The sequence below is a fragment of the Homo sapiens genome, chromosome X (genome assembly GCF_000001405.40).
Source record: "Homo sapiens chromosome X, GRCh38.p14 Primary Assembly".
Classification (NCBI taxonomy): Eukaryota; Metazoa; Chordata; class Mammalia; order Primates; family Hominidae; genus Homo; species Homo sapiens.
In genome coordinates, this window is record NC_000023.11 from 40,310,972 (window position 1) to 40,325,892 (window position 14,921).

The 14,921-nt window shown below is 45.4% G+C and overlaps 1 long non-coding RNA gene across 3 annotated transcripts in view; it reads left to right on the forward strand.

Moving 5' to 3' along the window:
* Nucleotides 1-7,069: 7,069 nt before the first annotated feature.
* Nucleotides 7,070-14,921, forward strand: part of LOC105373182 (uncharacterized) — an 82,002-nt gene continuing 74,150 nt past the window's right edge. For 2 of the 3 annotated variants that reach the window (XR_001755830.1, XR_001755831.1), the window contains exons 1-2: nt 7,070-7,393; nt 10,650-10,750. This is a non-coding gene — a long non-coding RNA (uncharacterized LOC105373182). Of the gene's footprint in view, nt 7,394-10,649; nt 10,751-10,880; nt 11,482-14,921 lie in introns of those variants that run through there. The other variant, XR_949031.3, reaches the window with a different exon arrangement.

Here is a 14,921-nt window from a genome sequence, read left to right on the forward strand (position 1 = left end):
CAGGAGAAAAATTTTTATTATACACATTTTAATTATACACATTCGTATGGGAGTCCCATAAAGCCATGAGACCCAAAGAAGGGCCAGATGATGGAAGCTTGCATCGTATCATGAGCTACAGAAAAGAATAGGGGTTCCAGGCTTTTGGGGAGTGCTGGAGAGAAATTTTGGGCGGGTGAGAAGAAGAAATGTCCGGAGAATAAAGGTTGCCTTGTTATGCAGATAAAAGTCTCTCAGGTGATAAAAGTTGAGCAGCTCTCTTCCCGCTACTGATACTTTTACTAATGAAAATGTCCTTTACAAAATGGGAGTTTTTCAGAGCTATTGCTGTGTCTGCAGTTTCTCAAACTAACCAGCTTGAAATAATCAATATGCCAAAGAGGTATATTTTGGGGTGGCATTTTCTGGTTTCCTACAGTCATGTTTTGGGGTGGTGTGTCCTGAGCCCCAGCAGGTGTAGAGACCAGAGGCTACAACTCTAGTTTCAGTAACGTAGCCCTTGAGCAGTGGGGCAGAGAGCGTTTCTGAGCCCTCAGGAGTAAAATAGAAATATATCAAGGATGATGATGTGATGAGGACAATTTCTGTTCCATCAGTTTGCAGACTTGTCGCAAAGAAGCTGAGGCAGGAGGAGACACTCTGTAAACTGTATCACGTGGCACAGTTGTGAGGTGGTGGTGGTGCTGTAGAACAAGGTCTCTTGGTCATAACAGCAGGGTCACACTGGCAGGCTGGGGAGATGTGATACCCAATCAACCAATATAAAGGTAGGAAATGCCACCAGGCCCCCAGATGTCTTGACTCTGTCACTGTTTCTCAACCCAATGGGTCTGGCTCCTGAGTGTGCTGGGATGGTCTCTATGGGAGTATGTGAGTGTATAAATTGGGTTCTGGTCTCAGCACCTTAACAACACCACACAGGAGGGCTGTCTGTGTCCGGAATCTTATTAGCACTAACAAATTAGAGTTGCTTAATCTGCATATCCATATCAAACCTACAGCCAGCTGGGTGGGTGTGTGGTGCAGAACTGGCATGTGCACTAATCATAACTAGGATCAATGCATTAGGCTTAGCAAATTTACATGCAGCCAATCACAGCAAAAGTGTAAAGAGCAAAACTGCCAAGAGAACCAATCACATACAGGGAATTCTTCACTGCAGAGTGTAAGACCCCTGAGCTCCTAGAGCTTTATGGCACTTGTTCCCACCACAGAGTATAGGCTGAATGGGAACTCCAGACTTGCTCTGATGAGAATTCGGCAGTAGATCAGGTCCACAGTGACAGTGACACCCTAGGCGGGGGCTGGTGCAAGGGAGGGAGTGTCCATACTGTCTTCATTTGGGTTCTCACAGAATCAAGCCTTGGAGAAAGAAACGCCAGCAAGGGCGTGCAGGTGTAAGGCAGGACAGCTAACGAAGGGTGCACGATCAAGCCAGGTACTCCTGTGCGAAACTGCTATGGCTGAATTCTGTCCCCCTCCCAAATTCATGTGTTGAAGTCCTAAATGCCAGGACCTCAGAATGTCATCTTATTTGGGAACAGGGTCCTTAAGCAGGTAATTAAGTTAAAATGAAGTCGTTAGGTTGGGCCCTAATCCAATGTGACTGGTGTCCTTTTAAGAAGAGATTAGGACACAGACATGCACAGAGAGAAGACCATGTGAAGACGCAAGGAAAAGACAGCCATCTACAAGCCAAGAAGAGAGGCCTCAGAAGGAACCAACCCTGCTGACACCTTGATCTTGAACTTCCAATCTCCAGAGCTGTGGGAAAATACATTTATGTTGTTAAAGACCCCAGTTGTGTGGTGCTTTGTTATGCTGGCCCTCGCAGACTAAGACAGTGAATACGACCCCTTTCCTTTGGGGGAGACAGTGTAAAACACAGGCTTCTGAGTTATCCCACCTGAGAGGTAAGGAGGCTAGGGTGTTTATCCACCAATTTGTATCAGCCATTTCCTGGGGGTTGTTCTCAGGGGGCATTAACTCCCACACTTACAGCCTGCCGCAGGGGCAGGCAAAGTGGTTTGGCAACCGGTGGAAGCCCCCAGATGAAGAAATGCAGGGATGGCCACTGGGAAGCTGAGCCTGAATGCACTCAGAAGTTAAGAGCAAGGGGATTTGTAAGAGGCAATGATGATGGCATCTGCTACACAGACCTATGAAACAGTGATGGACTGTCTTAGGTACCCGCCCAGAGGGTAAGGTGCTGTAGACTTTTACCTCTAACCCGAAGGAATATGCATGTGTGCGGTGTGTCTATTACTAGGGAGATTTTGTCTAGATAGAATACAGACGTTTCTATTGGATGATCCTGTGTAATGTTGTATAACCCTATAATAAATGTTATTTGCAAAGGTTACCTCTGGTTAGTTTCCATGCCAAAGCTGGTGAATTCAAGGGAACATGTACTAGGGTTCACTGTGGTCTTGGACCCCAGTAACTTTGCTGGTTTCGCTAGTGAGGCCTAGAGCAGTTCACTGCCTCTTGCTAATTTTAGACTTGTGTACTGGGCACAGCTAAGATGAGGGTGCTTTCAGTTAGGTTTCTTGGTTTCAAGCAGCCGAAACCAACAATAGCTGACTTCGATAGGAAAGGGATTTCTGGAAGACTGTGTTCACAGACCTGAGGGAAGGTAACAGGACTCACAGCCAAGAACACTCGGGTGGAGGAGTACATGGGGGGAGGGGACTTTTTAGCATAGTATCTGTAGGACACTGTCACTACTCTGGACCCTGGAGGTTGCCACCATGGTGACATTGTCCCTGCTTCTTTATGATGTTCAGTGTTAGTGGGGATGGAGATCTTAGCTGCTGGGAATGGGGGGTTTAGGGAGAGGAGCTTGGCCATGAGCTTCTCTAAGGGGGATCAGAACATGTGTTTCCCCTCTATTACCCAAACCAGGGCATGCCTCCCAAATGGGATAGACACTTGTCTTTGTCACGTGGGTGGGGGAAAATTCCAGAAGGGAGGGAGGAGTAGGGCGAGGATTTGTTCCTGTGACTCCTGGCTCATTTGCTCAGTTTCAGGTCAGGCTAGTGGAGACAATGGGTAGATCTGAGGTTTGGCTGGGTGTGGGGTGGGTTCCCTTGACCGGGGATCCCTGTGGGCCTCATTTGCCACCAAGGGGCAGAAGCAGGAAGACTGAGGGATGCTGGGTGGTCTTATCTACTACTGCACAACAAACCACTCCAAAATAGTGGCTTAAAACCATAGCAGTCACTTACGTTGCTTACTAATCTGGGCATTGACTGGGCTCAGCCAGGCAGTTCTCACTAGGGGTCGCTAGGGTTGCAATGGCCTGGTGGCTAGAGCTGGAGTCATCTCACTCACTTGTCTGCCTCCTGAGCTGGGAAGACTCAAACTGCCAGAGTGGAACCAGATGGGGACTCTTTGGGCCTCCTTCTCTCTGTGTGGTCTTGCCACACGGCCTTTCCAAGATGGCAGCTCAGGACAATTGAGCTTCTTACATATCAGCTCACGGCTTCCAAGAAAGAGAACCAGACAGCCGGGCGCAGTGGCTCATGTCTGTAATTCCAGCACTTTGGGAAGCTGAGGAGGGTGGATCACCTGAGGTCAGAAGTTCAAGACCAACCTGGTCAACATGGTGAAACCCCGTCTCTACTAAATATACAAAAATTAGCCAGGCATGGTGGCAGGCACCTGTAATCCCAGCTACTCAGGAGGCTAAGGCAGGAGAATCGCTTGAACCCGGGAGGTGGAGGTTGCAGTGAGCCGAGATCGCACCATTGTGCTCCAGCCTGGGCAACAAGAGCGAAACTTCATCTCAAAAACAAACAAACAAACAAAAAAAAAACAAAACCAGACAAAAGCTGTATCACCTTTTATGACCTAGTCTTGGAAATCACTTCCAAGTGATAGAGTGGAAGCAGCATCACTTCCACTGTATTCTATTCATTCCATGTGAGTCAGGAAGGCCAGCTTTTGGGGAGGGGCAGGGGATTAGACTCCTCCACCCTTTGATGAGAGGACTGCCACAGAATTCGTGGACATGTTTAAAACCATCACAGTGAGCTGGGCAGTGGCTCACACCTGTAATCCCAGCACTTTGGGAGGCTGAGGCAAGAGGATTGCTTGAGCCCAGGCAGTTCGAGACCAGCCTGGGCAACATAGAGGGACCTCCATCTCTCAAAAAAACAAAAACAAAAACAAAACAGAGAGAGAGAGAGAAAAAAAATAAAGTAAACCACTACAGTGGCTAGGAGATGGTGAACAGCCACTTCACTTGACGGTTTGACTGGACCAACACAATTTTCATTCTCAATTTTCTAACTTGGCTGCTTGTTTCCCACACTGCAGAAAGGCCAGGGCTCAAACTCCCCAGCAGCATATTAGTAACTAAAATGTTTGCACTTAGCGGGCTGGACTCTAGTTAATCCAGCTTCATCATTATGCCAGGAGAGCTCATTCCAACTGAAATTTGACTATTGGTTTTTAATTTTGGTGCCATTTTTCAAGATGATGGCTCTTCTGGCTGACAGTGAATTACCCGGGGTGCAAATTAAATACAATAGAATTGCTAATCAGGCCATTAGAATACATGGACAGGAGGAAAGCTACAAGTTGTCAGACCTGGGTGGGTTCTCTCCTTGCTTTTTGGACAGAATTTGTGTGACTTTGAATGGGCTTATGCATAGAACTGGTACAAATATTGGAAACAGACGCCTGCAGGCAGCGAGGGGGACAGAGCAAGTGGCTGCAAAGCCTGCGATGGTACACTGGTTTGGTTGGTTCCCCTTTGCAGGAAAAATCTTGTCCTATAAGTACTCATGTCCCTGGGGATTGCTGTCTAATGTTCCATACACTCTTCTCATGCAAGGAAGTGTCGAGATTTAATTCTCAACCTCCAGGCCCACAAGGAAGGCACCAAATATCTGACATAATGAACAGTGTTTTCGGATTTCTAAATTTAGAGGGAAGGCGAGAATGCACTAGTGGTTTTTCTCATGTCTAATTCTAAGCAAAGACAGAAAGACCGTCAAAGACTTCATGTAGCACATTCAGTCACAGTTTCTTTGTGTGTGTGTGTGTGTGTTTCTTTAACCCCCACGAGACTAACTGAGAAGAAATAGATTCAGGAGCCACTTCCTAAGGAGGCAGTGCTTGATGCCAAGAGGTAGTTCAGTAAATCAGGAAGTGTTTGACCATTGGAGAAGATAGAGTGTGGTTTTCAAGGGCAAAGATGCAAGCCAGGATGCTGTCCAGTAATGCTGCTAGGAGTGGAGGTGAGCTGGGGATCATATCTGCAAGTGAGGGAGGACTCCTACTGAATCAATCACAGGAAACACTTACCAAGGCCTGCCAGCCATGTCTGACCACTTGAAGTGCTTGCAGCATTTAATTTTCACAGCAGCCGTCTGAGGTGTGGATTATGATCACCCCCATTTAATGGATGTTAACTTGGAGGTTAGGTAACTTCCTGGAGTGTGTTAGTCAGTTTTGCATTGCTATAAAGGAATACCTGAGGCTGGCTAATTTATCAAAAAAAGTACGTTTCTGCAGGCTGTATGAAAAGCATGGCACTGGTGTCTGCTCCTGTTGAGGACTCGGGAAGCTTCCAATCATGGCGGAGAGCAAAGGGGGAGCTGGTGTATCACATGGCAAGAGAGGGAGCAAGAGAGAGATGGGGGAAGGTGCCAGGCTCTCTTAAACAACCAGATCTTGTGTGAACTCATAGAGTGAGAACTCACTCATCACGGCAAGGACAGCACCAAGCCATTCACGAGGGATCCTTCCCCATGACCCAAACACCTCCCACCAGGCCCGCCTCCAACATCAGAGGTCACATTGCAACATAAGATTTGGAGGGGACAAAAACCATCTAAACCACATCACCAGGGTCACCCAACAAGTTCATGGCAGAGCTAGTGTTTATTAGATTGGGTTCAGCTATCAGAGACAGGAGAAAAAATCTGAGTAAGGCATAAACAAGATAGACATCCTTTCTTACAAAAACAAAGATTCAGGGCCAGGTGCGGTGGCTCATGCCTATTATCCCAGCACTTTGGGAGGCCAAGGTGGGAGGATCACTTGAGGCCAGTGATCTCAACATAATGAGACCCTGTCTCTACAAAATTTAAAAAGTAGCCAGTTGTGGTGTGTGCCTGTAGTCCCAGCTACTTGGCAGGCTGAGGAGGGAGGATCACTTTAGACCAGGAGTTGGAGGCTTCAGTGAGCTATGATTGTGCCACTGCACTCCAGCCTGGTTAACAGAGTGAGACTCTGTCTCTAAAAAAGCCCCCAAACCTACGATGTTTTGAGGTATACAGTCTAATTCCATTACAGCAGCTCCATAACCATCTGCCACCCAAGTTCTTCTTTCTTGTTCCTCTACCATCTTCAACACATGATCTCTGCCTTGGGTTGCCAGATAAAATACAGGACAGCCAGTTGAATGTGAATTTCAGATAAATAACAAATAATTTTTTTAGTATGTGTCCCATGCAATATTAAATAATCAAATGACATTGTTTTGTTCTTGTTTGAGATGGGGTCTCACTCTATCACTCGAGCTGGAGTGTAGTGGCATAATTGCGGCTCACCACAGCCTTGACCTCCTGGCTTAGGTGATCCTCCCGCCTCAGCCTCCTAAGTGGCTGGGACTGCAGGTGCACCCTACTATGCCTGGCTAATTTTATGTATTTTTAGTAGAGACAGGGTTTCACCATGCTGTCCAGGCTGGTCCCGAACATGAAATCTTAAAATTAAATGAAGTATTAAAATTGTAAAATATTAAAAAATTAAATATTTTTATTTGCTAAACCTGGCAATCCTATCTCTGCCTCATGGTTCAAGATGGCTGCTTATGCTCCAGCCTTCAGGACGACCATACTTCAGGCAGCAGGAGGAAAGGGGATTAAAGAAGGGCCTCCCTTCCTTTGAACACACCTCATGGGAGTCATACCCAAATCAATTTCTCAACTCACATTGGCAACACATTGGTTTTAGGGAGGCTGGGAAATATGGTTTCTATTCTGGGCAGCCACAAACTCAGCCACCAATCAGGGCTTCTATATTAAGAAAAATGGGTATCAGGGGTCAACTTAGTTTCTGTCACAGCTTTCGAGTCTTGAGGCTTAATCACCCTGCTGTTCTGCCTTTTCTCTATTTCATGAAAGAAAGGGTAGAGAAGACACGTGTGTATTTCACACAGACTTCTTTGGTTCCTTTTGACGATTTCTGCGTGCCTCTTCCCTGATTCCTCCTTGTGTTTGCTGCTAACAGCCTGCCCATGTGAAATGCTTCAGAACCCTGCCCTTGGGCTCACGGAGTCATGTTGCCTACACCTGGGAATTTGGATGGCCCTTAGCAAGTGACTTACTCTGTGGGAGCACAAAAACCCAGCTCCCTTGGCTGGGGTCAGGACGAACACGTAAGTGTAATTTACACCCCAGAGCCCATCTGCAAGATCAGGCTGAGGCTGGGACTCCCCTGAGTGTGTGCCCTGGCTTGGCTTCTTCTCTTCCCTGTCTTGTTTTCTTGACTTCTTTACTGGTCTGTCCTGGAAGCACTTCCTTCATAAATCATGTGCACACAAATCCTGGTCTCAGTGTCTTAGCAGGCTCAGATAAGGGTTTACCCTGGAAAATATAAATAGGAAGTGGGCCAGCACTTTTGAAGACAAAGCTCTTCAGTTGCTGCATACCCCTCTGTGATGAAGAGGCTAAAGTGACTGGCAAAGCCCTTGAGTTTGAATCAGGTCACACCCAGCCTTATGGGGCAAATCCTGAGCTGTGACAACTTCTACTTAGTTGGACATTTAATATTTATTTCAATCTTCTCCAAGCCGTATGTTTTCTAAGAGAATGTGTATTAGTCAGGATTTGGTCAGGAAAACAGATGGCACTTGGAATTTCAAATAGGGATTTAACACGGAAGGTTAGGTACTTACAAACCAGTTGGGAGAGCTGGAAGAGCAAAAGTCTCTCAGATTTCCTCCCAACTCCCAGAGCATCAGAAAGTACAGTGAAGAAAGAGCCCGCCAGCCTGTGGGACCAAGATAGCTGATTCTCGGGGAAGTGCCTGGAGGTGGCTGCGAAAGCTGTACTTCCTGTGCCCCTTGTGTCTGTCTGCTGTTGCAGGAGAAGCAATAATAATCATGGCTTCTGCTTCTCTGGCCTTCCAGGTCTTGTGCCACTACAGTCAATCCTCATTATTTGTGGGTTCCATATTTGCAAATTCACCTGCTCACTAACATTGATTTGTAACCCCAAAATCAATACTCACAGTCCATTCGTAGTCACTCTCGGAAAGAGCTGCAAAAAACTTGAGTCACCTAAAGCCCACGTTCCCGGCTGAGCTGAATAAGGGACCTCTCTGCCTGGTAGTTTGAGCTCTCGTACTGTAAACAAGTGTTATTTTGGCCGTCTGGCTACTGCCATGTTTTTCACATTTTTGTGCTTTTTGTTGGTGATTTCACTGTTTAAAATGGACCCCAAGTGTAGTGCTACAGTGCTGTTCAGCGTTCCTAAATAAGAGAAGGCAATGATGTGCCTTATGGAGAAACTGTGTGTTAAAAAAAAGCTTTGTTCTGGCCAGGCGTGGTAGCTCGTGCCTGTAATCCCAGCACTTTGGGAAGCTGAGGCGGGTGGATCACTTGAGGACAGAAGTTCGAGACCAGCCTGGCCAACATGGTGAAACCCCATCTCTACTAGAAACACAAACATTAGCCAGGCGTGGTGGCAGGCACCTGTAGTCCCAGCTACTCAGGAGGCTGAGGCACGAGAATCGTTTGAACCTGGGAGGTGGAGGTTGCAGGAAGCCAAGATCACGCCACTGCACTCCACACTCCAGCCTGGGTGACAGAGCAAGACTCCATCTCAGGAAAAAAAAAAAAAAAAAAAGGAAAGATTTTTTCAAGCATGAGTTATAGCGCTGTTGGCTGTGAGTTCAATGTTAATGCACCAACTATATATATTAAATAAGGTGTCTTTAAACAGAAACACACAAAAGACAAAGTTACATATTGACTGGTTCACAAAAATATTGTGACCAGAGGCTTGCAGGAACCTAACTGCCTATCTCTCCTAGGAGCAATTGTTCAGTATTTGCTAATTCAACGTTTGAAAACTGAATAGATCATAACTACTGTGAATAATGAGAATCAATGATACTTCTCATTGATAGAATCTAACTAGTAACCTATTTGGGAAGGAATGCTGGAAAATGTAGTTCCCCAGCTTCCAGATGCTGTGATATATGGAAGATCATAGAAGGAAAAAATGGTGCTAAGTTTTTCACAGACAATCCAGAGCAGTATGTTAAATTATGTAATGCTTTCAAAACTTTTTAAAGGGTTGCTCTAGGGTTTACAATATACGTATTTCATTAATCAATATCTACCTTCAAATAATAATATACTATTTCATATGTAGTATAAAAACATTGTAAGAGTGTACTTCTAATTCCTCCCTCCCATCCCACAGTACATTTACATATCCTATAAACACACAATGCATTGCTGCTGTGCTGACTTTAGACAGTCATCTTTTAGAGCAATTTAAACATTTTAAAAGGAATTTTTATTTACCTTTATTTGTTCCATTTCCAGCCCTTTTCATTTATTTGTGTAGATCCAAGTATCTGTATCATATCATATTCCTCCTACCTATAACATTTCTTATAGAGCAGTTCTGCCAGCAATTAATTCTCTATTTTTGTTTGAGAGAGTATTTCTCTTTCACTTTTGAAATATATTTTTTGCCGGGTATAGAATTTGGGGTTGACGTGTTCTTTTGTTGTTGTTTAACATTTTGAAGATGTTACTTTATTGTCTTTTGACTTGTATGTTTTCTGATGAGAAGTATGCCGTGATTCTTTGTTCTACTTTATGTAATATGCCTTTTTTCTCTGGCTGCCTTTATAATTGTTCTCTTTCTTGGTTTTCAGCAGTTTAAATATGATATACCCAGATTTTTGTTTGTTTGGTTTTGCTTTTGGTTTTTGTTTTACCCTGCTTGGTCTTTTCTGTGCTTCATGGATCTGTGGTTTGGTGTCTGCCATTTAGTTTTGGAAAACTCTTAGCCATTATTCCCTCAAATATTTCTCCTGCCTTGTTTGCTCTTCTCCTTCTGGGATTTCAGTTACATGTACTTCAGACTGTTTGATAATTTCCCACAGCTCTTTGATGCTCTGTTCTGTTTTTTCCCTCCATTCATTTATCTTTGTGTTTCAGTTTGAATAATTTCCACTGACTTATCTTCAAATTTGCTGATTCTTTCCTCAGCTGTATCAGTCTCTTGATGAGCCCATCCAAGGAACATTAGTGTTTTTCATTTCTTGCATTTCCATTTGATTCTTTCTTATAGGTTTATTCTCTCTGCTAAAATTACCCATCTGATCTTCCATGTTGTCCGTAAGTGTTTATTCCCAACTCTCCTTGGAGGCACCTGTCTTTTCTTACTTAGAGTTTGGGTTAGTTGGTTGCCCTGTGACTTCGGCTGTCTGATAAGTTCAAGGTAAGTTGTGATTTGCAGATTGTCTTTCCTTTTTTGTTGTTGCTGTAAGGGTGGGCACAATGCTTTTACCAGCCTCCTACATTAGAAGCAGACTGCTGCTATTCAGAGACAGATGTTTCTGTAGAAAAAGTACAAGACTTAATTTTGTGCCTAATTCCTGGTTTCTTTCAGATCCTCATGCTATGCACATATAACCAAATCAAGGCACCAGTATTTACTGTGGAATTCAAGAGGAAAAGCTCAGTCTCTGTGGGAATGGCTTAGAAACAGTGGTAAGTGGTATAAAATGACAGATCAAATGTAATATGTTACCCCTAGTTGCAGGTGTGGTAGGTTCTTAAAAACAGCCCCCAATGAATCATGTCTCCCAGTGTTCACATCCTTTGCAATGTTTCTTTGCAGCTCTTTCCATCATGAGGTGGAGTTACTTCTCCAGCGTTTGAATCTGCTGTTTTGATCAACAGAATATGGCTGAAGTGACATGTGTGTTTGTGCCTGGGTGAAGATGGGGGGCATTTAAGTCCAGGGCTTAGGAGTTCTGGTAGCTTCCACTTTTGCCTGGGGGGTTTCCAGCCACCATGTGAAGAAGCTCAGATTAACCTGCTGGAGACAGAAGCCACTTAGGAGGAGAGCCAAGCTCCCAGATATATTAGTGAACCCGGCTGACCCCATGAAAAGAGAGAGGCCCAGCCACCCCAGTTAGCCCCAGCCATGCGAACCACCCCAACTGAGCCATCAGACATGTCAGTGTGGCCATTTTGGGTTTTCCAGCTCCAGTCAAGATATTGCAGCCCCAAATTCCTGAACCACAGAACTGTGAGATGTAAAAAGGTAGTTGTTTTATGCTACTAAGTTTTGGGGTGGTTTGTTAGGAAGCAATAGCTAACAGCAGACACTTGTAGTTGCTCCACAATATCCCTTCTCCCCCTTTTCCTCTTTAAAAGAAAGGCTGAGTTTTCTAGCTGGTTAAATGGCCACCTAAAATAAAAATTACATTTCTCAACTTTCCTTGCCACTAGATATAGCCATATGACTAAGTTCCAGTCAATGAGATGCAAGTAAGAATGGGTATATGCAACTTCCAGCGTAGTATTTATTTTGGAGGCCTTTATCTTACCAATATATCAGAGTCTAGCACTGGAAAGATAAGAATACCATGACCATCTTTCCTTCCTACCCTACCCAAATGAGATATGGGTTGCTTTGGAGTCTGTTAGGAAAAAAACAAGAGCAACAGCAACCCAAACACTGTAGTGTAGACAGGCCATGAGGATCAAAAGGTCAATGGAGAAAAAAAGGAGCTAAAAATGATACAGTGAGCACCAACTGAAAAGACTATCTTTAACCCACTAACAGTTTCTAACATTTTGAGTACCTTGAAAAATAAGTGGTGGTGAATCTTCTCATTGAAAATGAATTTAAATGAAGACATTAGGCCTTTTGACTCTGGGCATAGAATGTTCTCAGGGTAATAACACAGGTCTGGTACTTGCACCTTAATTACCCACAGATGGCTGTGGGTAATTACCCACAGATGGCTGTGATCTTGCTGTAGTAGAACTTACGGAAATCTCCTTGCCATATCCTGGACCCAGGTAAATAGTCCTTCCAGGTGTGGTAGAAAGTTGAGAGGTTTGGTTAAAACACTGCAAGGGAAGCCAAGACTAGCATAGATGCCTTCCTAGGGCTCCTCTTCCTGTTAGCATTAGGCTTTGTGCATTCTTCATCTCTCTTGATTCTGTCACGTTCTCTTTCTCTCTATGGCCACTTCCCTGTGTTCAGCCTTCACAATTTCTCTCTGGGGCTCCCTGTCCTCATGATGTCACCTCGAATCCATTCCTCACTCTGCACCTAAAGTAATTTCTCTAGAGAGTATATCAGATTCATGACATACCTGTGCTTACAATCCCAGCAAGTCTCCTCAATCCTTCCATAGGAAGAAGAAAGCCGCGCTCGGGCTCTGTGTGATCTAGCACCACCTTTTTTCCTTCCCTTATCCTTCCATTCCTCCTCTTTCACATGCTAGATGACATGTCCAGCCACCTTGGATGACTCGAAAACTCCTGAAGCACCCCAGCTATCAAATCCTTAGAGCCTCTTTCCTGGCCCCTTCTTCTAAGACAATTCTTTCTTGCCTTTTAAGATTCAGATCATGGCCAGGCGCGATGGCTCAAGTCTGTAATCCCAGCACTTTGGGAGGCCGAGGTGGGCCGATCACCTGAGGTCAGGAGTTCAAGACCAGCCTGGCCAACATGGTGAAACCCTGTCTCTACTAAAAATACAAAAATTAGCCAGACGTGGTGGCAGGTGCCTGTAATCCCAGCTACTCAGGAGGCTGAGGCAGGAGAATTGCTTGAACCGGGGAGGTGGAGGTTGCAGTGAGCCGAGATCATGCCACTGCACTCCAGCTTGGGCAACGGAGCAAGACTCCGTCTCAAAAAAAAAAAAAAAAGATTCAGCTCAGGTGTTCAGCCACCCCTTTGAGAAGGTACCTCAGATTAGGGCCTTCTTTGTGTTTCAAGCATGCCTCTCGTCATTACATTTGTCAGGCTGTTTTTCTGACGATCAGTCTCCCCCTAAAGCTGTCAAGTGCTTAATGTGAGTGCAGCACCCACTGCCAGTGCCCCAGATCCTTCCAGCACTCACCATTTCTGCACCTAGCAGCACGGGGCAGGATGAAAGTGCCAGGGGCTTAATGCCTTCTGAGAGCAGCTCTCAACCAATGACTGATGGGAGTTGGCGTATAACTACCCCAGCTCCCTTGCCCTTGAGTGGGTAACACTGAGGCATGTGCTCTTGGCCATTACACAGAGTTCACCTGTGGAAATGAGCTCCAACTGCCCACAGTGGTAGTCAGTAAAGCCCACCGTTTATTGCCTGACTTCCTTTCCTTGTCTCACTTCCCTACTTCTCTTCTGGTATTTCTTATCCCTCCCAAATAAACCATAAGCCAGCACTCATCCTTCTTCTTTTTTTTTTTTTTTTGAGAAGGAGTCTCGCTCTGTTGCCCAGACTGGAGTGCAGTGGCGCAATCTCGGCTCACTGCAAGCTCTGCCACCTGGGTTCACGCCATTCTCCTGCCTCAGCCTCCCAAGTAGCTGGGACTACAGGTGCCCACCACCACGCCCGGCTAATTTTTTGTATTTTTAGTAAAGATGGGGTTCCACCGTGTTAGCCAGGATGGTCTTGATCTCCTGACCTCATGATCCACCCGTCTCGGCCTCCCAAAGTGCTGGGATTACAGGCGTGAGCCACTGTGCCTGGCCGCCAGCACTCATCCTCTTATCACAGGATCTGCTCTGGGGAAATCCAAACCATGGAGGTACCTGTCTTACTGTCTTTGCATCTTTCCACAGCACTGAGTTTAATCCCTGACACAAAGTAAGTCTTTGATGATAGTTTGTTGTCTGGCTGTGTCTGTCTTTTTGAGTGAATAACTGAATTAATTAATGGTTATGATGACAATTTTTCTGGTATTATCCCTTATCCCTCTTGTGGTAGACACAGAGATGTGTCACCAAATCTGCATTCAATAAAGTTCACTTTGGGAAGCTGAGGTGGGCGGATCACTTGAGGTCAGGAGTTCGAGACCAGCCTGGCCAACATGGTGAAACCCCGCCTCTACTAAAAAAAAAAAATACAAAACTTAGCCAGGCATGGTGGTGCATGCCTGTAATCCCAGTTACTCAGGAGGCTGAGGCAGGAGAATTTCTTGAACCCGGGTAGCGGAGGTTGCAGTGACCCGAGATCGTGCCACTGTACTCCAGCCTGGGCAACAGAGCGAGATTCCAAGAAAGTTTTTGTTGTCCATTCATGGAGTGTGCAGAGAGCAGATAGCTCCCAGCTGCCAGCAATACCGGTCTGCCTCAGCTGCAGAGAGCCACCTCACTCCAGGCCACGGCCTCCTCAGGGCAACCCACACCTGGCGACTGCTTTAGCAGAAATCATAAAAGGGTGTAAGAGTCTGGCCATTTCAGCCAATTGCAGGAAACCTCTGGTGGCCGATCCCTGCTCCAGAGCTCTCCACTGGGTTGGCCGAAGCTATGCGGGTTTGCATTACAGTTCAGCTTCTCAGTCAGCCCTATCTTGCCTTCTCCCATTTCTTTTTTTCCTCACAGAATTTGATCTCTAATAAACATCTTGCATCTCAAAAGCCATCCCATCATCTGCTTCTGGAGAGTCTAACTTGCAGAATCTTCCATGGTGTATTAATCAGGATTTTCCAGAAAAGCAGATCCAATAGGAGATACATTTATGGAGATGAAGTGCTGATGTTCAAGGGCAGGAGAAGAGGGATGTCCCAGCTCAAGGACAGAGAGAGTTAATTCGCTCTTCCTCCTCCTTTTTGTTCTATTCAGGCTCTCAATGGACTGGATGATACCCACTGTATTAGAGTATTCTTGTATTGCTATAAAGAAATACCTGTGACTGGGTAATTTATAA